General features: G+C 36.2%; 1 protein-coding gene across 8 annotated transcripts in view; it reads right to left on the bottom strand.

Moving 5' to 3' along the window:
- BCAS3 (BCAS3 microtubule associated cell migration factor) overlaps positions 1-25,790 on the bottom strand; it is a 714,981-nt gene that overhangs the window by 389,302 nt on the left and 299,889 nt on the right. For all 8 annotated transcript variants that reach the window (NM_001353144.2, NM_001353145.2, NM_001330413.2 and 5 more), the window contains exon 15: positions 13,295-13,559. In NM_001353144.2, coding sequence (NP_001340073.1) covers positions 13,295-13,559 — 265 coding nt within the window. The remainder of the gene's footprint in view (positions 1-13,294; positions 13,560-25,790) is intronic.

The following is a 25,790-nucleotide window of genomic DNA, read 5'->3' as shown; positions in this document are numbered from 1 at the left end:
CTTGAGACCAGGAGATCGAGACCAGATTGTGCAAAATGGCAAAACCTTGTCTCGATTTAAAAAGGCAAAGAAAGGGAGACAAGAAAGGAAAGAAAAAAAAGGAAAGAAAAAGAAGGGAAGGGAAGGGGAGGGGAGGGGAGGGGAGGGGAGGGGAGGGCATAATAAAAGGAGCACAAAAAAGCTTCAAAATTTATAACGATCTCTTAAAGAGAGAAAAATATTACACATAAAATAAGAAAAGGGTGTGATAATAAAAAAAATTCAAAGAAAATCATATTAAAAAGATTGCAGAAATAAAAATGCAACAAGAAGACTGAAACATACGTTGGGGAAATTCTCATAAAGTTAAAAAAAAGATAGAAAATAGACAAGAAGATTAGGGGCTCAATGTAGAAGATACATTATTCAAGTAATAGGATTTCCAGGAAAGGGCCCAAAAAAAACCAACTGAGAAAAAAACAGAAGAGTTAAAAGAAGAGGCCTCTGGGGAATGACACCCGAGAGTGGGGAGGATAGGCCAAAAAGTGCCTCCTTTCACTATAAAATTATATTTTTGACTTTTATAATAAATGCATGTATTTCTTTGATAAAAAATAAAAATTATATTTAAAGGGTAAACAACAACAGTAAGTGTCCAATCAATGTTAATAGAAAAGAGTAGATAACTATTAGCCCTTATAATGCCTCAATGCCTCAAAAATGAAGTTTAATCACTCTGATATTATAAAGTATACAGATAACAAGTCCCTGAATAGCAACACATAGAGAATAAAAAAACATTTAGCATAATGACCCCACATACTCAAATGATATAACTAAAAAATTTGCCTCTATTCATTCAATGGTATTCACTCAGAGGAACTGGATCTGCATGTAGTACTCAGAAAGGATATTAATTGATAGTAATATATTTCCAAAGTTGAATTCTCTAAGAAGACGTTGAAGAATAAATCACAGAAAACATAATAAAAAGGAAGAAAGGCTATTTAAGATCTGATAAGACATTAACATCCCTAGTACCTCAGGTTCATGCCAGGGTTGCCTTGATTACAATGAGAAAATATTGCCCTCTAGAGGCATGTCTCATTAACCATTTAAAAATAAAACTATTTTGAAATCTGGAGTTTATGATTTGCCCATGTAAAAAATACATAGAAAAGAAAAAATATTTCCACAAGCAGTAAAAAGCAAAGAAGAAATTCTGGATTAGTTTCAAGGGATAACTACATCATCTGGCATTTATTTAAAGGCAAAACTTACAGAGAAAAGAAATGTGTTATATCCAAAATGAAATACACAAAAATATAAAATATCTACATAGAGTTTATTTAGGTTTAAAATATTTTTAAATTAATTTTCATAGCACTAAATTTTAAAGTATAATTTAGAGGCAATATAATATCAGGTTTCCTTTAAAATATATCCCACTGGCAATTTTATTTCCCCCCAAAACTACGTTATCTATACCTTTCTCTCAATTTTACTGAGAACCTAAAACTTCTCTTTAAAAACCTATTTAAAAACAACAACTGTACAATCTTCATTTAATAGCTTCTTCCATTAATGATTCTGAAATGAAAGCATCTTGTTTTCAGGAAGGTATTATGAGGTCACTCTTTTCTATCCACTTTCCCTAACAAACTCATCTGCTCTGTCTTGAGAAAATAGTAAATGTTAAAACTAGCAGAGTGCTATAGCAACATTTTTTTTTAAAAAAGGTGATAAAAGAATTTGAGAAAACAAATTCACCAGGAAAACTTTAAATCTGAAAATAACAAATGAAAAACAAAACTGCATTTGAGCTAAAACAATAAAGTACACATAATCAATAAAAATCCAGGTACTAAACTAAGATATCCCCCCACAAGATTTTTCTCCATTTAACATGTTTATACTATTTATATACTCTATGTCATATGAGGCATAAAATCTAAAGCAGAGCTACAGTGCACTTGATTGATTTTTCTTGGCAAAAATTAAAACATGCACATGGAAACTTCAATCCACAAGTAAACAGTGATGTGGAAAGAAAAGTCAAGAAACATCACATTATCATTGATTCTCTTAAGTAGGTGAAACTATATAAGGCTGAAATGTGTGGTTGCTTTGTATTTACAATTGTGATGTGGTCTGTATCAAGAAAACTACTGATCAACGTAAGTTAAAATTACAATAAACCATCAAATGAAAGCTATAAACAGAGTCTTTGAGTGGTAAAAGGAATGCCTCATACAGATGCTAAAAAGAAAAGTGATACTTCCAGTTTTGTAAAAGCACTTTACTGAAATATGGAGGCTCCAAGTCCAAGAAATGAGAGGCTTTGTACAAAGGTCTCCGAGTCTCATCAACTACTTCCATTTAGAAAAAGCAGAATCTAGAATTCAGATGCCAAAAGCTGTGACTCAAAGATGACCCCTCTGAGGACGAACAAGTTAATAGGAAAGGAGACACTTGCAGGAACTCTAGAGAACTGCAGAAGTGAATCCAAGATCTGTTTGTTAACTCAATGGAAATTGCAGGAAGAAAACAAATTCCTTCTAAGTCCCATGACACAGTGAACTCTATATTTTTGAACCTAAAATGGAAAACTAATTTGCAAAATTAAGAAATGGCAAAGGCTCAAGAATAGGTGTACTGATTTATAAAACCATATTTCCTGATGTATACAATTAAAATGAGCAAAAACCAATTAAAATGATAATACTACCATCACTTTTGGTTTTGCATTGGTGTAGCAATGTAGCAACTGAGCTTATCAACATTGAGCCTAGTATTGTTCTAAAAGCCTTTAAAGAATAAGTTCACAATTATTATATTTAATTTACTCATTATTTAGTGAATTACTCATTTATTCTGTTTTCTGGATAACAGGTACTGTACCAAAATACGAAAAATGAATCAGTTCTATAGACTCTCACATTAACAGCAGTATCAATAATGATACTAATGATAGAAACTACAGTAATCCTCTACTGAATATTTGATATGTGCCAAACACTATTTAAAGGGCTCTGATTCTCATAGTTACTCTATAAGATTGGTAATATTATTATTCCAATTTTACAGAAAGAAAAGTGAGGTACAGATAGAATAAATAATTTGTCTAAGATTACAGAGTTAGGAAATCATGGAAGATAGATTCTACCACCAGGAAGTCTGATTCCAGGTCCTCCAATTTCCTCACCAAGAAAGTTTTAACTTAGTAATCAGTAGCATCAAAAATAAAAGTAGACTCAAAATAGTAAGAGTCATCTACAACAAACTCATAGCCAACATCATACTGAATGGGCAGAAGCTGGAAGTATTCCTCCTCAAGAACTGGAACAAGACAAAGATGTCTACTCTCACCACTCCTATTCAACATAGTACTACTATAAGTCATAGCTGAAGTGATTAGGTAACAGAAATAAATAAAAGGCATTAAATGGGAAAAGAGAAAGTCAAATTATCTCTCTTTACCAACAATATGATTCTATACCTAGAAAACTCTAAAGACTCCTTAACCTGATAAATTACTTCAGTAAAGTTTCAGGATACAAAAATCAGTAGCATTTCTAGACAACAATAATATTCAAGCTGAAAACCAAATAAAGAACGCAATCCCTTTAAGAAAAGCCACAAAAAAATCCATAAAATACCTAGAAATACGTCTAAGCAAGAAGGTGAAAGACCTCTACAAGGACAACTACAAAACACTGCTGAAAGAAATCACACATGACACCAGCAAATGGAAAAGCATTCCATGCCCATGGATTGGAAGAATCAATATTGTTAAAATGTCCATTATCACCCAAAGTAATCTAAAGATTCAATACTATTCCTACCAAATTACTAATGTCATCTTTTCACAGAATTAGAAAAAACTATTCTAAAATTCATGTGGAATCAAAAAAGAGCCCAAATAGCCAAAGCAATCCTAAGCCAAAAGAACAAAGCCTAAGACATCACATTTCTTTTTCTTTTTCTTTTTTTTTTTTTTTTTTGAGACACAGTCTCACCCTGTCGCCCAGGCTGGAGTGCAATGGCTCACTGCAACATTCAGCTCACTGCAACATTCAGCTCGCGGGTTCAGGTGATTCTCCTGCCTCAGCCTCCTGAGTAGCTGGGATTACAGGTGCACACCACCACACCCAGCTAATTTTTTTTGTCTCTTTAGTAGAGACGGGGTTTCACCACGTTGGCCAGGCTGGTCTCGAACTTCTGACCTCATGATCCATCCGCCTTCATCTCCCAAAGTGCTGGGATTACAGGCGTGAGCCACCGCGCCTGACCTGAGACATCACATTTCAAACTGTACTACAAGGCTATGGTAACAAAAACAGGATAGTATTGGTGCAAAAATAAGACACATAGACCAATGGAAAAGAACAGAGAACTCTGAAATAAAGCTGCACTCCTACAACCACCTGATATTCTTCGACAAAGTCGACAAAAATAAACAATGGGGAAAGGATATAACTATTCAATAAATGATGTGGAGAAACTGGCTAACTATATACACACAGAAGAATTAAGCTAGGCTCCTACCTACTCACCACATACAAAAATTAACTCAAGATGGATTAGAGACTTAAATGTAAGACCTGAAACTATAAAAATTCTAGAAGAAAACCCAGGAAAAACTCTTCTGGACACTGGCTTGAGCAAAGAATTTATGACTAAGCCCTCAAAAGCAAATGCAACAAAAAAAATTGACAACTGGGACCTAATTAAACTAAAGAGCTTCTGACTATCAACAGAGTAAACAGACAATCTACAGAATGGGAAAAAAATACTACAAACTATGTATCTGAACAAAGGACTAATATCCCAAATCTATAAGAAGTTTAAATCAGCAAGCAAAAAACAAATGACCCCATTAAAAGGGTCATTTAGACATGAACAGACACTTCTCAAAAGAAGACATACAATGGCCAATACACATATAAAAATGCTTATCACTAATCATCAGACAGATGCTACAATAAGGTACCATCTCACACCAGTCAGAATGGCTATTAGTAAAAAGTCAAAAAACAACAGATGTTGGTGAGGCTGCAGAGAAAATAGAATACTTATGCACTGTTGGTGGAAATGGAAACTAGTTCAGTCCCTGTGGAAAGCAATTTGGAGATTCCATAAAGAACTAAAAATAGAATTACCATCTGACACAGAAATCCCACTACTGGGTATATGCCCAAAAGAAAATAAATCATTCTTACAAAAAAAACACATGCACTTATATGTTCATCGCAGTTCTATTCACAATAGCAAAGACATGCAATCAACCAAAGTGCCTATCAATGGTGGATTAGATTGTTTAAATGTGCTACATATGTACGACGGAATACTATGCAGCCATAAAAAAAGAATAAAATCGTGTCCTTTGCAGCAACATAGGTGCTGCTGGAGGTCGTTATCCTAAGTAAATTAACACAGAAACAGAAAACCAAATATGTCATGTTTTCACTTATAAGTGGGAGCTAAACATTGGGTGTATACAGACACAAAGATGGGAACAATAGACATTAGGGATTCAAAAGTGGGGAGGAAAAGGGTGGGGAGGTTGAAAAACCACCAGTTGGGTACTATGTTCACTATGTGGGTGACGGAATCAATGGAAGTCCAACCTCAGCATCATGCAATATACCCATGTAACGAATCTGCACATGTACACTCTTAATCTAAAATTTAAAAACCAATAATAATAGGCAGAAAGTGGAAAACAATCAGTACAGATAAAGGGTTTACAGAAGGAGCAAATATATGAAATTCAACACTATTTTTAGAGAGAGAAAGTACATCACAAGCTGGCCTTTAAAGATGGGGTTGAATGTGTACCTGAAGAAGTAGGGAGAAAGTAACTTAGGTGTAGAAACATGGTATTGAAGCTGGAAAGCAAAGATATGTAATTAAATTTACTTAGGGCACAAATAACGGTGGAAGATATGCTTTATTCATTCAACAAAAATTTACTAACTGGTGAAAGGAATGCCTATTCTCCTAGAGGACTATTTCTTACCTTTGCCTTTCTCCTCAAAGCTCCAATACCTGCACCCATCCTCACTACCCATTTCCTTATGATAAAAGAAGCAACATCCTCTGTCTCCTCTAAATGTTCCTGCTTCCCCTTACATCAATCCTCCCTGAAAGACTTGTCGACACTGTCTTTTCCTATTCTTACTAAAATCCACTGGGACCAGGAACTTACCATGCCACCAAAAGTATTCTTATCAAAGACATATGTCTTTTACACAAGGGGTTCCCAACTCCCAGGTGGTGGACTGGTACCGGTCTGTGGCCTGTACGAAACCAGGCTGCAGAGCAGGAGGTAAGTGGCTGTCAAGCTGGCATTACCACCTGAGCTCACCTCCTGTCAGATCAGCAGCAGCATTAGATTCTCATCAGAGCACAGACCCTGTTGTGAACTACACATGCAAAGATCTAGGTTGCACACTCCTTATGAGAATCTAATTCATGCCCGGTGATCTCAGATGGAACCGTTTAATCCCAAAACCTCCCACCCCTCCCCACACTGGCCCATGGAAAAACTGTCTTCCACAAAACCGGTCCTTGGTGCCAAAAAGGTTGGGGATCACACTTCTACATTACTAATTTTAATAGTCTTATTTTTCTCAGTTCTTCATTGATCTGTCAGTAGAATTTAACACATTAATCATTCCCTTCTCTCTAAAAGAATTAATTCACTTGGCCTCTAGGATTTCTCATATATAGTTTTGCTTTGTATGTCACTGGCTACTTAATGTCAGAGGGCCCCAGGGCTCAGTCCTGGGACATCTCTTTTTTATACTCACTTACCTACAAGGTGATCTCATCTCATTTTTGTTTCAGCTACCATCTATGCATTGCAAACATTTATCCCTACATAAATGACTGCTTTCCACTGAACTCCAGACTCATGTAACCAACTACCTACTTACCATCAGTAGGAGGTCAAAAAGACATCATATTAAACTTAACATGTCCAAAATTCCTGATCCTGTCCCCATCCCAAAACCTGCTTTATCCACAACATTCTTCATTTCAATTGACACCAACCCTATCCTTCTAGATGTTTAGGTTAAAAGTCTTACTAGTCATCTTGACTCATCTCTTCTTTCATACTTGACATAAAATGTACCAGAAATTCTGATCGCCATACCATAAAAAATATATCAAGAATCCAATGACTTCTCACAGTCTTCACTATAAACAACTTACTCCAAACCTCATCTTTTCTTGCCTGATTTTTTGCAATACTCTCCTAACTGGTCTCAACTAAGTTTCCACCCATGTCCACGTACAGACTGTGTTCTCAATACAGATCTCCATTCTAGTCCTGCCAAAACACAGTATTATCATGTCACTCTTATTCTCAATGCCCTCCAGAGCCCCCCTCCATCTCATGCTGAGTGAAAGGCTAACAATCATCTGCCCTCATTACCTCTCCGATCTCATCACCTATTATACACCTTACACCATGTGCTTCAGCCACACTGGTCTCTTTATCATTCCTTGAACATGCCAGGCACACTCCCACCTCAGGATTTTACACAGGCTGTTCTATATGAATTTCTCTCTTACTTCCACCAGATCTTTGCTCAGATGTCATCATCTCAGCAAGGCCTATGGGAAGCATACTAATTTCAAATTGCAATCCTCCCTAGGCATTCCCTATTCCCCTTCCCTCATTTTTCTCTGTGGCTCCATGGGAACACAGACATGTTTCTCTTTTGTTCACTGCTAAATTCCTAAACTCAGAACAGTGCCTGGACACAATAAACACTAATTAATGTTGTTGATCAAATGACTACACCTTGGAGATGTTTTTTTAAGTTGTTACTATGAATAAAAAGCTCTTCATTCTAACAAGTAATTATTTAAATCTAAATTGTTTTTCTTAGAACAACTTCTAAAGATGTTTTAAAACTCTGGTTTAAAGCCTTAGAAACTGGTCGGGCGCGGTGGTTCACGCTTGTAATCCCAGCACCTTGGGAGGCTGAGGCAGGTGGATCACTTGAGGTCAGGAGTTTGAGACCAGCCTGGCCAACATTGTGAAACCCAGTCTCTACTTAAAATACAAAAATTCGGCTGGGCGCGGTGGCTCATGTCTGTAATCCCAGCACTTTGGGAGGCCACGGTGGGCAGATCACTCACTCACGGTGAGGTCAGGAGTTCAAGACCAGCCTGGCCAACAGAGTGAAACCTTGTCTCCACTAAATATACAAAAATTAGCCAGGCATGGTGGCGGGCACCTGTAATCCCAGCTACTTGGGAGGCTGAAGCAGAAGAATCACTTGAACCCGGGAGGTGGAGGTTGCAGCAAGCCAAGATTGCACCACTGCACTCTAGCCTGGGAGACAGAGCAAGACTCCGTCTAAAAGAAAAGAAAAGAATAGAATAGAATTAGCTGGGCATGGTGGCACGCACCTGTAATCCCAGCTACTCAGGAGGCTGAAGCAGGAGAATCGCTTGAACCCAGGAGGCGGAGCTTGCAGTGAGCCGAGATGGCGCCACTGCACTCCAGCCTGGGTGACAGAGCGAGACCCCGTCTCAAAAAAATAAAAAAGGCCTTAGAATCTATGTCAACTGCCAAGATACAAATAGAAACACCAAAAAGACTTTGTGCTCACAGAAGTCAATCTAATAGGAAGCCCAGACATGTCAATGAATAACCTGCATATTATAATATGATAAAAGTATGCAGAGCATACCAATACCAAGGTTGAAAAAGATGATAAAAATCAAAAGAAGGCTTAAGAGAGGCAGTAATATTTTAGCTTGCTTAGTAGGCATTCAAAGAGGCAATAATAATGTCAAATAAAGAAAAGTTGCAAATAGGAAAGTTATCAAAAAATAAATACATGTGGCATATTCAGGGAAGGGTACAGAAATCTAGGTATGGTTAGACAAGAAGCTGGAAATAAGATAGGACATTTTCTAACCTTCTAGGAATATGGTGAGACACAAAGATCTTAAGCAGAAAATTGGCAGATCATATTTATAGCTAACATTCCACAAGGAAGTGCTTGTGATAGTAAAAAATTGTTAGAAATTACTGATATAGATGAGGGAAAAAATGATGATCAGGGATTCTTAACCATTTTTGTATCACAGACTATTTGGACAGTCTGGGGAAGCCTGAGGAATGTTTCCCAGAATAATACTTACAAGCCATGGGAAAAAGACATATAATTACAAAGAAAATGAACTATACTGAAGTACAGTTATCAATATATTAAAAATAAAGTGTTATAGTAATGTATATAATCAATTAATACTAAAATATTATATAATCATAATTTCAAAGTAGTGATGAGTAAAAACAATATTTTAAAATATATTCAATAATGCAAGATACTTCAAGATATATATTTCATATATAAAGTGATATGAGTAATTCTGCATTTTCTATTGGTAACAGTGTCACAAGCACTGTTAATGTTTTTGTCATGTATTTTCCATGTTCATAACAAAAAGGAAATGCTTACTTTTGGTTAAAGGATAGTGAATATAAAGATGTAAATTTTTTTCCTATCCTGTTCATGGATCACAAGAAGTCCTCAAGTAGACTAAGTGGATGTTCAGGCAACAAGATAGGAAATGGAAGAGATATTTATAAAGAATATATTTCAAATAAATAAACATCCTCTGGAAAGTTAAAAAAATTGGCAAATAGATAAAATAATCCTAACCTAAACTGGATTGGGTCCAAAGAGTAAAAAGGAAATACCCCTATATCAACTGTTATTTAACAGTTTCCTTTACTTGGCTAAAAAGAGCACAGACAAACAACGGTAATACCGCCAAAACATGATTCATTTTCAAGATGAATCCCTCCCTGTTCAATGGTTTACATTGTTTTTGACCAGCATCAGACTGTTTACCCACACAAACTGTAAATACATCATTTTTAGAACTAACCAACAATGCCCATTTTGTTATGACATGTAAGATACAAAAAAACATGAAGAAAAATGACCATCACTCTAAAGTCCATGCTTCAAAAATGAGAAAAACTACACAGAGTAATAGACGGAAATTCTGGAAATAAAATTTTAACACGTGTTATCTATCAGGAGGAATAGGCTGCCTGAAATTCCTTGCTTTCAAAAGAAAATCTTAAGTACAGCAGCATAGTCGAACAGTGTGGATTCTCCTCTTTGAGATTTCTGAAAAAAACATGCAGAGAGACATGAAAGCAATAAAGCTGAGAGAAAACAATATATTTTGACTTGGAAATCTAGTAGTATTGCTCTTTAACTACTGTCCTTTCACAAATGATGAAATCCTTCATTGACTGGCACTTTGCAACCTTCAACAAAAGTATATTGAAAGGTATTTGTTCACAGTCATTTAATATCTGTCTTTTCCCGTGGAATACAAGATCTATGAGGGTAGGAATGCCCACAATCTTTTGTGCACATTATGCTTGAATCTTAACACAAAAACCTCTTATGTGGTTTGCTGTATAAAGAAGCAAGAATAAGAACAAAAAAGAAGCTCAAGGAAATATCTTCCAAAGACATATAAATGTAGGGATCACAAAGCCTTCTTAATTTACTAATACATCTGTGGTTTCTCTTATTGACCTAGCTGCTCCATGTGTACAGTGAATCTCTTTGCCAAAAGATTTTGCTAAAATTTTATGTTATGAAAAACATTTGACACAAAAAGAAAAGCCCCCAAAGAACCTATACTACACATCTACATAGAAAACACAATTTTAACACTAACACCAAAAAATGTAACTAAGTCTGAAATAAAATGTCTAGCAAATAGCTGAAAATATCAATATCTCATAGCTTTCTAAATTTTATTTTATAAAAATTCTATATACTTTTTTGAAATATAAGCATTGTTTTTCAATTTTTATTTTATGTTCGGGGGCACATGTGCAAGTTTGTTACATGGGTAAACTGCATGTCCCTGAGGTTTGGTGTACAAATGATCCTGTCACACGTAGTGAGCGTAGTACCCAACAGGTAGTTTTTCAACCCTCACCCCCTCCCACTGTCCTCCCTCCAGGAGTCCCCAGTGTCTACTATTCCCATCTTTATGTCCATGTATACTCAATGTTTAGCTCCCAATGACCTTTTGCATCTAGAGCTGATTCTAAAAACTTTCAACCTTAAATATCATGGGTCACTAGTTAAATTAAATACACATGAATAACAATCATTCTCATTAAAAATAATAGAACCAAAGCATAAAGTATGATCTCAGGAGTAAAAAGAGGTCCCATTTTTTTGAGTTACAAAAGTCCCGAGGAAAACATTTACCTATATTTTTTCAGTCTATCTTTAAGCTTCCTACAGAGTGTGTGTGTGTGTGTGTGTGTGTGTGTGTGTGTGTGTGTGTAAGTCATCGGATACTACGAAAGAATGTGTAATGTGGTCAGTACAGAAGCTGAAACAAATTAGGATAGGTACATACTCAAAAGAATTACATAGAAGTACTCAAATACACGTACACACATATTCATAATAGCACTATTCACAATAACCAAAAGGTAGAAACAACCCAAATGTACCTCAGTGAATGAACAGATCAATTGCGTTACATTCCTACAATGGAATATAATTTACCCATAAAAAGGAGTGAAGTGTTAATATATACTACAATGTGGATGAACTTCAAAAACATTATACTAAATGAAAGAAGGCAGAAACAAAAGGTCATATATTCTATAATTATATTTATATAAAATATACAGGACAAGTAACAGTCTACAAAGCAGAGAGTGGTGTTTGCTAGGGGATTAGGAGAAAGAAGAATGAGGAGTAAGTGCTTAAAGAATATGTGGTTTCCTTTTGGAGTGAGGAAAATGTTTTGTAAACAGGTTGTGGTGGCACAACATCATGAATGTACTGTCACATTTACATGGTGAATATTACGTTATGTGAATTTCAGGTCAATTAATAAAATAACAATGACTTTCTGTGGTAACCACAATCTCTCTATATAAGATTCCCCAATCTTGAAAACCTAAAATGGTCACCCATCAAGGGAAATCTGCAATGCTCCAGAAAAGGTGATCTAATGTCAACGTTTTCTGTCGTTCTAGTGAGAATGAAACGGTACAACCACTCCAGTGTTATTTATCAAGGTTAAGATTCAACTACGTTATGATCAAGAATTTCCACTCAAAAATTAGTATACATATTATCCCCAAACCTGAAACCATGCAATGTACATCAGCAGTAGTAGAAAGGATAAATAAACAGAAGTACAATGGAATAAATGAGAGCTGTAAATAAATGAACTAAACCTACCTGCAACAACATAACTGAATCTCACAAATATAATGTTAAAGAAGCCAAAGATATCAAAATATACATACTCTACAATTCCATTTACATAAAATGGAAACAATAGTGTTTAAGGACACTTGCTTAGGAGTAGAAATATTCTAAAAAGTAAAGAAGTGGTTACCATAAAAATGAGAATTGTGGTTTAATGTTATGGAGAAGGTATGCAAAAGAGAGATTCCAATAATGTTCCATTTATTGATTGGGATGATGGTTACACAGCTACTTGCTCTAAGATAAATTACTGAGATACACAGCAGAAATCCCGCCAATCCCATTTTAAAATAAAATGCAGGCTGGGTGCGGTGGCTCATGTCTGTAATCCCAGCATTTTGGGAGGCCAAGGCAGGTGGATCACAAGGTCAGGAGTTCAAGACAAGCCTGGCCAACATAGTGAAACCCCATCTCTACTAAAAATACTGAAAATCAGCCAGGCGTGGTGGCGGATGCCTGTAATCCCAGCTGCTCGGGAGGCTGAGGCAGGAGAATTGCTTGAACCTGGGAGGTAGAGGTTGCAGTCAGCCGAGATCACGCCATTGCATGCCAGCCCAGGCTACAGTGCAAGACTCCGTCTCAAAAAAAAAAAAAAGCAAATGCTGCTCTATCTAAAATACACATTACCCATGACTATTTCTTTCCAACAATGAATATTTCTTAATAAACTATAGTGTCCCATTGAACATAGAATGTTCTGGAAGAGATAAGTAAAAAGGATGTTCAGTTCTCTGAAGTTATAAAAATAGTTCCAAGTTTTATATTCCATAAATATGATACCAAATATCCCTTATATATTGAAACAGGGAGTTAAAATAGCATGGTAAAGATCACCATTACTATACTGGCTCCAATTTATTAAATTATTTAATAATTAAGAATTTCATATAAGCCTAAGATCTTCTTTTTACATGAACAGACTATAACAAGTTTAGTTTTATCCCAGATCTGTAAAAATAAGGACAAAGGGAAGGAAGATTCAAGATAACAGTGGAGACAGAGAAAATTACCATGCAAGGGTGACCCAGAAGGGCTGCTTGATAGACCTGGAACAGGGCTACAGCGACCTCCTTGCTTAGACGTCAGTTCTTGTTCAATCTCTTCCAGTCCAGCACTTTTCTGGAAACGGCTCATGCGATTCACTACTCGTGGTGACATATGTGTACGAACACAAGGCTGGCCACCATAAGGGTTGATGGGGAAAACGTGGGAAGTACCCCGGAGAGTACTGACCACAACCCAGCGACAGTCATGGCTGAAGCAGATGTCCTGTACCTAGAAATGAGATAAGAAAAGATACAAAAATGTCTCAAACTACTTGGATTTTTCTAAGAGTATCACACATCACCAAATATGAATATAAATGATTGCCTCATTACCAAATGTACCTAAGATCAGGTAATAAATAAAAATTTACTCTACAGATGCATTTCACAATGACTGTTGATCAAAACTCCATTAGGTAGAATGTTACTTCAATAGTCAGGGATACAGGATCCTGAAGAGAGGTGAAATGCAAAGAAAGAAGATCTTAAAACACTCAATGCCCTTTGCCCCCCAACACACACACATAACTGATAACAACAATAATTCATGTATCTGCAGTGGCTCATGTATCTGCAAGCTTTTTCTGTAAGAGGCCATATGGCCTTGTAGGATGTAAAAGCTCCACTGTCTGTTGCAGTTACTCAGCTCTACTCTTGGACTGTCAAAGCAGTCATAGAACATATGTAAATGAGTGCAGTTATGTTAAAAAAAAAAAAAAACAACTTTATTTACAAAAAACAAGTGGTGAGCCACAGACCTGAGCCAGGGAAAGTTAATTTGTATGACACTTATCATACAGTGAATAAAGAATCTCCAGTATTTCTGAATTAGCAAATTGAATTTACTACCTTTATCTCAATATCAGTCAACTGGTGACAACTTGAGCAAAAATATCTCCACTTACTTATTTCAGAAAAAAATTAAAGAAAGCTAAGGAAAATTTGATACTGTTATAAGCATTTTTAAGCATAGCCTCTAAAAGGAAGGCAGCTCACAGATACTTAAGTTTTCTACACTGACTAAATTAATTTTCCACCACCTAAAACAATTGTCAAATAGTGTTTTAAAAAATCCAGACAAGAGAAAAAGCACAGTAGAATAAAGATATTTGTGAATGAAACTTAACATGAAAATATATATATGGATACAGTAAAAGCAGTACTAAGAGGGAAGTTTATAGTTATAAGCACCTAAATAAAAAAAAAGGAAAACTTCAAATAAACAATCTAACAATGCATCTTAAAGAAATAGAAAAGCAAGAGGAACCCAATCCCAAAATTAGTAGAAGATAAATAATAAAGATCAAAGCAGAAATAAATAAAACTGAAATGAAGAATACAAAAGATTAACAAAATGAAAAGTTGGTTTTTTAAAAAGATAAACAAAATTGACAAATCATTAGCTGAACTAAGAAAAAAAGAGAGAAGACTCAAATAAAATCAGAGATGAAAAAGGAGACATTATGACTGATACTACAGAAATTCAAAGGATCATTAGAGGCTACTATGAGCAATTATATGCCAATATGTTGGAAAATCTAGAAGAAATGGATAAATTCCCAGACACGTACAACCTAACAAGATTGAATCATGAAAATATCCAAAACCTGAATAAACCAGTAACAAGTAATGCGACTGAAGATGTAATAAGTCTCCCAGCAAAGAAAAATCCAGGACCAATGGCTTCACTGCTTAATTTTAGATGTTTTACCAAATATCTAAAGAAGAACTAATACCAATCCTACTCCAACTATTGAGAAGAATAGAGGAGGAAGGAATACTTCTAACCTCATTCCACAATGCTTTTATTACTCTGAAACCAAAACCAAACACATACATAAAAAAAAAAAAAAAAAAAAAAGAAAAAGAAAAGAAAAGGAAAGAAAAGAAAAGACAAGACCAGACAAGACTAGACTAGACTAGACTAGAGGCCAATATTCCAGGTGAACATTGATGTAAAAATCCTCAACAAAATACTAGTAAACCAAATTCAACAACACATCAAAAAAAAAAATCACAACCAAGTGGAATTTATCCCAGGTATGCAAGGACAGTATAACATACACAAATCAATGTGACATGTTCTATCAAGAGAATAATGGATAAAAACCATATAATCATTTCAACTGATGCTGGAAATACATATGATAAAAATTCAACATTACTTCATAATAAAAACTCTTAAAAAACTGAGTATAGAAGGAAAATACCTCCATAGAAGAAAAGCCATGTACAATGGACCCACAGCTAGTATCTTACTGAACAGGGAAAAACAGAAAGCCTTTCTGCCAAGATATGGAACAAGACAAGGATGCCTACTTTAATCACTGTTATTCAACAAAGTACCGGAAGTCCTAGCCAGAGCAATCAGACAGGAAATAAAAGGCATCCAAATTCGAAAAGAAAAAGTCAAATGAGCCTCGTTTGCAGATCATATGATCTTATATTCAGAAAAACCTAAAGACTCCACCAAAAAACTAACAGAACTGATAAACAAATTCAGTAAGGTTGCAGGATACAAAATCAACATACAACAATCAGTAGCATTTCTACATGCCAAATGTGAACAATCTGAAAAAGAAATTTACAAAGTAATCCCACTTACAATAGCTACAAATAAATAACTAGCGATTAACAAAAAAAGTGAAAGATCTCTACAATGCAAACTACAAAACACTGATAAAAAGAAACTGAAGAGGACACAAGAAAATAGAAAGATATTCCATGTTTATGGATTGGTAGAATCAATATTGTTAAAATGTCTATACTACCCTAAGCAATCTACAGATTGAATGCAATCCCTATCAAAATACCTATGACATTCTTTACAGAAATAGAAAAAAAAATCCTAAAATGTATATAGAGCCACAAAAGACCCAGAATAACCAAAGCTATCCTGAGCAAAAAGAAAAAAAAAAAAAAACCTGGAGGAATCACATTACCTGACTTCAAATTATACTACAGAGGTATAGTAACTGAAACAGCATGGTACTGGCATAAAAACAGACACATACACCAATGGAACAGAACAGAGAACCAAGAAACAAATCTACATACCTACAGTGAACTCATTTTCAACAAAGACGTCAATAACATATATTGGGGAAACATAGTCTCTTCAATAATTAGTGCTGGGAAAACTGGATATACATATGCAGAAGAATAAAAATAGACCCCTATCTCTCGCCATACACATAAATAAAATCAAAATGGATTAAAAACTTAAATCTAAGATCTCCAACTATGAAACTACTGCAAGAAAACATTTTGGGAAACTCCTGAACATTGAAACTGGGCAAAGATTTCTTGAGTATTACCCTACAAGCACAGACAGCCAAAGCAAAAATAGACAAATGGGATCATGTCAAGTTAAAAAAGATTTTGAACAGCAAAGGAAACAATCGACAAAGTGATAACCCGAAGATTGGGAGAAAATATTTATAAACTGTCCATCTGACAAGGGATTAACAACTAGAAAAGAGCCCAAACAACTCAACAGGAAAAAATCTAACAATCCTATTTTAAAATGGGCAAAAGATATGAATAGATTTTCTCAAAAGACATACAAATGGCAAACAAGTATACAAAAATGTGCTCAACATCAATAATCATTACAGAAATGAAAATCAAAACTACAATGAGATATCATCTCCCTCAAGTTTAAAAAAAGGCTTTTATCCAAAAGACAGGTAATAGCAAACGATGGCAAGGATGTGGAGAAAAGGGAACCCTCATACACTATTGGTGGGAATGTAAATTAATACAACCACTATGGAGAACAATTTGGAGGTTCCTGAAAAAACTACAACTAGAGCTACCGTATGATCCAGCAATTCCCCTGCTAGGTATATACTCGAAAGAAAGGAAATCAGTATATCAAAGAGATATCTGCACTCCCATGTTTATTGCAGCATTATTCACAATAGCCAAGATGTGGAAGCAACCTAAGGACCCATCAACAGATGAATGGATAAAGAAAATATGGTATATATACGCAATGGAGTACTATTTAGCCATAAAAAGAAAGAATAATATCCTGTCATTTGCAACAACATGGACAGAACTGGAGGTTATTATGTTAAGTGAAATAAGCCACTTACAGAAAGACAAACTTTGCATGTTCTCACTTATTTGTGGGATCTAAAACGTAAAACAAGGAACTTGGCCAGGCATGGTAGCTTAGGCCTGTAATCCCAGCAGTTTGGGAGGCCAAGGCAGGCAGATCACTTGAGGTCAGGAGTTCAAGACCAGCCTGGTCAACATGGTGAAACCCTGTTTCTACTAAAAATACAAAAATTAGCCTGGTGTGTTGGCGTGCGCCTGTAATTCCAGCTACTTGGGAGACTGAGGTGGAAGAAACTCTTGAACCCAGGAGGTGGAGGTTGCAGTGAGCTGAGATCGTGCCACTGAACTCCAGGCTGGGCGACAGAGCGAAACTCCATCTCAATCAATCAATCAATAAAACAAAATAATAAACTCATGGAGATAGAGAGTAGAAGGATGTTTACGAGAGGCTGGAAAGGGTAGTGGAGGGAGGAGGGGGGAGTAGGGATGGCTAATGGGTACGAAAAATAGAAAGAATGGATAATATCTGGTATTTGATAGCACAACAGGGTGACTGTAGTCAATAATAATTTAATTCTACATTTTTAAATAGAATAAATAAGACCTACTATTTGATAGCACAATAAGGTGACTATAGTCAATAATAACTTAATCATATATTTTTAAATAACTTAAAGAATATAATTGGGACCAGGTGTGACAGCTCACACCCATAATCCCAGAACTTTGGAAGGCCAAGACGGGTGGATCACCTGAGATCAGGAGTTTGAGACCAGCCTGGCCAATATGGTGAAACCCTGTCTCTACTAAAAATACAAAAAATTAGCCAGGCATAGTGGCGCATGCCTGTACTTCCAGCTACTGGGGAGGCTGAGGCAGGAGAATCACTTGAACCCTGGAGGCAGAAGTTGCAGTGAACTGAGATCATGCCACTGCACTCCCACCTGGGCAGCAAGAGTGAAACTCTGTCTCAAAAAAAAAAAAAAAAAAAAAGAATACAGTTGAATCGTTTATAACTCAAATGGATAAATGCTTGAGGAGATGGGTACCCCATTCTTCACTATGCACTTATTTGACATTGTATGCCCGTATTAAAACAAAACTTTTTTTTTTTTTTTTTTTTTTGAGATGGAGTCTCACTCTGTCACCCAGGCTAGAGTGCAGTGGTGCAATCTCGGCTCACTGCAACCTCTGTCTCCTGGGTTCAAGTGATTCTCCTGCCTCAGCCTCCCAAATAGCTGGGATTACAGGCATGCACCACCACGCCCATCTAATTTTTGTATTTGTAGTAGAGATGGGGTTTCACCATCTTGGCCAGGCTGGTCTCAAACTCCTGACCTCAGGTGATCTGCCCACTTTGGCCTCCCAAAATGCTGGGATTACAGGCGTGAGCCACTGTGCCTGGATAAAACAAAACATTTCATGTACTCTACAAATATATATAACTACCTACTATGTACCCACAAAAAATTTTTTTAAATAATTAAAAGAGTGTAATTGGACTGTTTGTAACACAGAGGATACATGCTTGAGGTGATGGATACCCCAATTACCCTGATGTGATTATTATGTACTATATGCCTGTATCAAAATATTTCAAGTACTCCATAAATATACATAACTACTATGTACCCACAAAAATTAAAAATTAAAAAAAAGCTGTATATATACATATCTATGTGCATGAGGCATATTAGCTTCATTATAATAACATGAATTAGGTAAAAGTCCCCAAGTGGTCAGAGAAACACTTTTCAGTGTATTAGGTCTTCAAATAAGACTACATATTTCAGAAACGCACCACAAACAAAAGCTCTAGGTAGCCATCAAAGTACAAGTTTCTAATAGAGCCTGGAATCTTTTAAATAAAAAAGAAATTTTAGTCTTATGTATCAAGACAAGATACTTCATTGCTAGAAAACTGCTACACAAACATCATCAGTACATGAACAAACTCAAAATTCAACCACATGCCTGCCAATCTCGACTATTGTGACACATCCAAATGACACATTAATGATATAATTAAAGACTGTCCTAAAAGCTGAGAAATTTAACTCCCAACAATTCCAGCATTTCAGATAAATAGTTATTCCAGAAGTGTTTAACCTCTGTAGCTTGCCTACGATTATGTTCAGCTTAACTGACTTTTCTGAATAGATCAGGGGTCCTATTAAAAGAAAGGATGAAAGTCGTAGAAAAGCAAGAGGAAGGGAAAAGCAGGACGAACAAAGGTGTAAACAGAAGAAGTAAGAGAAAAGAAATATAGTACCGGAAGAAATTAATATCATAATATGAAATGCATTTTCACATGACAGAGTCAACTATATAAAGAAAGGCATCCTTAGATTTATCATTGAGCAATTTATGTTCCAGCCACAGTGAAATTGAACTATGTTATCTAACATCTTTTTCCAAAACACTTATAATCAAGACCACTTCCTGGTCTGTCAATAAAAAGGAGTTTCTTTCTTTCATTTTTAGACTACTCAGGATATAGAGGTGGTGTTAGTAACAGTATCAAGGCAGGAAGACAGAATTCCACCTAATGCTTTTTTAGAAAACTGCTAATAGAGAAGTGATTCTGCTCTATGACCTTGAAGACATATCAGCATATATAAATGAGCAGAGAAGGACTGCTAAAGATACTAGCTGTCAAAATAAGTAGGGAAAGTTTAATCCTTTAAATAACATTACAGAGGATAACAAGTTGCCTATCCACAAGATGTAAAATAATATAACTGTTGCTATTAGTTAACTAGCTGGACGGTTTTTCAGACATTATTAAAAATGAAAAAAACCTGTAAAAATGGAAAACTAGTAATAAGGTGATGACATTATCTGCATGATTTTTGGACCTCAATTATGGAATGTTATTTGTAATTAACATATTCTCATCACAAAAAGAAGAGCTAGATAGGAGTCGAGTCGCATTACTGATTTAATTCTACAGCACTAAATATCATGAATATCATGACAAATAACATTTACCATGTACAGATTAGGCAACCGTGGTAACAAATAATAAACAAGTACAGGTACCACTCACTATTCAAACCCCTGCTCTCAAATTTAGGACACAAACATATTTATATATTTTTTTCTTTAAGACACTCACTAGTCAATATTTTAAACTCAGGAACTAAGCAGATGTGAATAGCAAGAGATAAAGTATATGTGCTCCTGGTTGGCCACATTTCAGAATCCTATAGAACTGACACAGAAAATGTTTGTGGACATGAGAGAAGTGGAGGTTTTTTTTAGAACTGGGTTCAGTAAACTTTTTCTGTAAAGGACCAGATAATAAATTTTAGGCCTTGAAGACAAGAAAGCAAAATCAAAGGTACCATGTAGTTGTTGTTTATAACAAGAGAAAAACCAAATTTTGACAAAATTTTTGTTGATGCAATTCAAAATATAATAATTCAATATAGTTTTTTGTAATATAGATCTACAATGAGAAGAAAGACATTCTTTTTATGGGAATAATCTTTTGCTCAGTTGAAATTCAAAGTTAGTGTTATTAGATTCTCCACAGTAGAGAGAGGAAAAACTAAAGAAAGTCTTCCCTTAAGAAAAATCCATACAAGACATGAGTTAAGAACATGAGACCAATGAAATTAAGATACTTTATTTTTAAGGTACTTTAAAGAATTCAATAGCAAGCGAGGCGCAATGATGCACTTGTAGCTCCAGCTACTCAGGAGGCTAAGGTAGAAGGATCGCTTAAGCCCAGGAGTTATGAGGCTGCAGTGAGTTATGACTGTGCCACTGTACTCTAGCTTGGGCAACAGAGTGAGACCCCCAATCTGTAAAATAAATTAATTAATTTAAAAAATATGGATTATCTGCTTAAAAGAAGAAAAATGACATTCAATAGCAAGCAGATATTTTGTTTATTTTGTTTTCAAGGTAGAATATAGCTATATATAATAAAATAATGAACATAAATACAGAAAATAACTTTGGTATTTTAAAAAAATCACACACACATAAATCCCACAACTATTTCTCATTATCTTGGAACACATCCTTCTTTCAGGCAACTCTTAATGCAAATATACAGTATATCTATCCATTTATATATATTACATAACTACATATACACATTTGTGCATACACATATAATTTCTTTTCAGATTAGATTTAAAATACCAATTTGAAATGAAACAATCTACAAAGTTTAATATTATAGAAGATTATGAAAATACATGGAAACAGTACTATAAATATAAAGCCATATATAAGCTTTACCTAGAGGCAATATATCACAGTAAATATATCTACTACTTACAAGCTATATGGCCATATGAAAGTTAATTACCAGCTCTGTGCCTTGAGATTCTTCATTTGCAAAACAGGAATAATTATGCCAATTTCATAGGGTTGTTGGGTATGAGTTACTGCATACAGCACTTAGAACAGTGCCTAGCACTTAATAAGCACTATACAAAGATGTTTGCTATTATTATTATTGTCCTCATAAAAATACATTGCAACTCTGTCCAAATGTCTGTTTTCACTGCTATCAACATACTGCTATCACTCTTGTGGCTGGGCACAGTGGCTCACGTAGGTAATCCTAGCACTTTGGAAAGCCAAGGCAGGCAGATCACTTGAGGTAAGGGGTTCCAGACCAGCCTGGCCAACATGGTGAAACCCTGTCTCTACTAAAAATACAAAAATTAGCTGGGTGTGGTGGCACATGCCTGTAATCCCAGCTACTAGGGAGGCTGAGGCAGGAGAATTGCTTGAACCTGGGAGGAGGCAGAGGCTGCAGTGAGCCAAGATCATGCCACTGCACTCCAGCCTGGGTGACAGAGCGAGACCCTGTCTCAAGAAAAAAAAAAAATACACTTAAAACACTATCATCTACAAGGTTACTATATTAGTCTCTTACTTGGACTCTTAATCGAGATCACCTATAAGCAACCCAAGTCAAAGTAGACAAATCATACTTCTTCAACATTAAAAACTTTGCATGTACAAAGAATACATTGGCTGGGCATGGTAGCTCATGCCTATAATCCCAGCACTTTGGGAGGGGGAAGTGGGAGGACTGCTGGAGGCCAGGAGTTCAAGGCCAGCCTGTGCAACATAGCAAGGACCTGTCTCTACAAAAAATAAAAACACATTAGCCTGGCATGGTGGCACATGCCTGTAGTTCCAGCTACTTAAGAGGCTAGGGTGGGAGAATCGCTTCAGCCCAGGAGCTTGAAGCTGCAGTGAGCCATACTGGTGCCACTGCATGCCAGCAGTGTGAAAACCTGCCTCCAAAATAAATAAATAAATAAATAAAGGTCAGGTACAGTGGCTCCTGTCTATAATCCCAACACTTTGGGAGCCTGAGCTGGGCAGATCACTTGACCCCACAAGTTCAAGACTAGACTGGGCAACATGGTGAAACCCTGTCTCTGCAAAAAAAATAGAAAAATTAGCTGGGCATACTGGTGTGCGCCTGTAGTCCCAGCTACTCAGGAGGCCGAGGTGGGAGTATTGCTTGAGCCCAGGGAGGTCAAGATTGGTGTGAGCTGTGATTGCAGCACTGCATTTTACCCTGGGAGACAGAGTGAGACCCTGTTTCAAAAAAAAAAAAAAAAAAGAATACCATTAAGAAAGTTAAAAAAGCCATAAAATGAATGAGGGAAAGTATTTGCAAATAATACATCTGATAAATAAAGGACTGGGACAAATATTTCTCCAAAGAAGATAAACAAATGGCCAATAGCATATGAAAAGACTCTCAACATCATTAGTCATTAAGGACATGCAAATAAAAACCACAATGAGATACCACTTCATACCGAAAAGAATGGCTAAAATAAAAAAAGATGATAAGTTTTGGTGAGGATGTGTAGAAACTGAAACACTCAAATTTCCATAGGGGAAATATAAATGGTGTAGCCACTTAGAAAGTGCTTCCGCCCAGAAGTTTAATCTCTGAATAGACCAATAACAGGATCTGAAATTGTGGCAATAATCAATAGCTTACCAACCAAAAAGAGTCCAGGACCAGATGGATTCACAGCCGAATTCTACCAGAGGTACAAGGAGGAACTGGTACCATTCCCTCTGAAACTATTCCAATCAATAGAAAAAGAGGGAATCCTCCCTAACTCATTTTATGAGGCCAGCATCATCCTGATACCAAAGCCGGGCAAATACACAACCAAAAAAGAGAATTTTAGACCAATATCCTTGATGAACATTGATGCAAAAATCCTCAATAAAATACTGGCAAACCGAATCCAGCAGCACATCAAAAAGCTTATCCACCATGATCAAGTGGGCTTCATCCCTGGGATGCAAGGCTGGTTCAACATACGCAAATCAGTAAACATAATCCATCACATAAACAGAACCAAAGACAAAAACCACGTGATTATCTCAATAGATGCAGAAAAGGCCTCTGACAAAATTCAACAACCCTTCATGCTAAAAACTCTCAATAAGTTAGGTATTGATGGGACGTATTTCAAAATAATAAGAGCTATCTATGACAAACCCACAGCCAATATCATACTGAATGGGCAAAAACTGGAAGCATTCCCTTTGAAAACTGGCACAAGACAGGGATGCCCTCTCTCACCACTCCTATTCAACATAGTGTTGGAAGTTCTGGCCAGGGCAATTAGGCAAGAGAAGGAAATAAAGGTGTATTCAAGAGGAAGTCAAATTGTCCCTGTTTGCAGACGACATGATTGTATATCTAGAAAACCCCATTGTCTCAGCCCAAAATCTCCTTAAGCTGATAAGCAACTTCAGCAAAGTCTCAGGATACAAAATCAATGTGCAAAAATCACAAGCATTCTTATACACCAACAACAGACAAACAGAGAGCCAAATCATGAGTGAACTCCCATTCACAATTGCTTCAAAGAGAATAAAATACCTAGGAATACAACTTACAAGGGATGTGAAGGACCTCTTCAAGGAGAACTACAAACCACTGCTCGAGGAAATAAAAGAGGATACAAACAAATGGAAGAACATTTCATGCTCATGGGTAGGAAGAATCAATATCGTGAAAATGGCCATACTGCCCAAGGTAATTTACAGATTCAATGCCATCCCCATCAAGCTACCAATGACTTTCTTCACAGAATTGGAAAAAACTACTTTAAAGTTCATATGGAACCAAAAAAGAGCCCGCATCGCCAAGGCAATCCTAAGCCAAAAGAACAAAGCTGGAGGCATCACACTACCTGACTTCAAACTATACTACAAGGCTACAGTAACCAAAACAGCATGGTACTGGTACCAAAACAGAGATATAGATCAATGGAACAGAACAGAGCCCTCAGAAATAACGCCGCATATCTACAACTATCTGATCTTTGACAAACCTGACAAAAACAAGCAATGGGGAAAGGATTCCCTATTTAATAAATGGTGCTGGGAAAACTGGCTAGCCATATGTAGAAAGCTGAAACTGGATCCCTTCCTTGCACCTTATACAAAAATCAATTCAGGATGGATTAAAGACTTAAACATTAGACCTAAAACCATAAAAACCCTAGAAGAAAACCTAGGCTTTACCATTCAGGACATAGGCATGGGCAAGGACTTCATGTCTAAAACACCAAAAGCAATGGCAACAAAAGACAAAATTGACAAATGGGATCTAATTAAACTAAAGAGCTTCTGCACAGCAAAAGAAACTACCATTAGAGTGAACAGGCAACCTACAAAATGGGAGAAAATTTTCGCAACCTACTCATCTCACAAAGGGCTAATATCCAGAATCTACAATGACCTCAAACAAATTTACAAGAAAAAAACAAACAACCCCATCAAAAAGTGGGCAAAGGACATGAACAGACACTTCTCAAAAGAAGACATTTATGCAGCCAAAAAACACATGAAAAAATGCTCACCATCACTGGCCATCAGAGAAATGCAAATCAAAACCACAATGAGATACCATCTCACACCAGTTAGAATGGCAATCATTAAAAAGTCAGGAAACAACAGGTGCTGGAGAGGATGTGGAGAAATAGGAACACTTTTACACTGTTGGTGGGACTGTAAACTAGTTCAACCATTGTGGAAGTCAGTGTGGCGATTCCTCAGGGATCTAGAACTAGAAATACCATTTGACCCAGCCATCCCATTACTGGGTATATACCCAAAGGACTATAAATCATGCTGCTATAAAGACACATGCACATGTATTTTTATTGAGGCATTATTCACAATAGCAAAGACTTGGAACCAACCCAAATGTCCAACAATGATAGACTGGATTAAGAAAATGTGGCACATATACACCATGGAATACTATGCAGCCATAAAAAATGATGAGTTCATGTCCTTTGTAGGGACATGGATGAAATTGGAAATCATCATTCTCAGTAAACTATGGCAAGAACAAAAAGCCAAACACGCATATTCT

The sequence above is a fragment of the Homo sapiens genome, chromosome 17, assembly GCF_000001405.40.
Source record: "Homo sapiens chromosome 17, GRCh38.p14 Primary Assembly".
NCBI classification, from domain to species: domain Eukaryota; kingdom Metazoa; phylum Chordata; class Mammalia; order Primates; family Hominidae; genus Homo; species Homo sapiens.
This window is presented reverse-complemented; position numbering and strand designations above follow the sequence as displayed.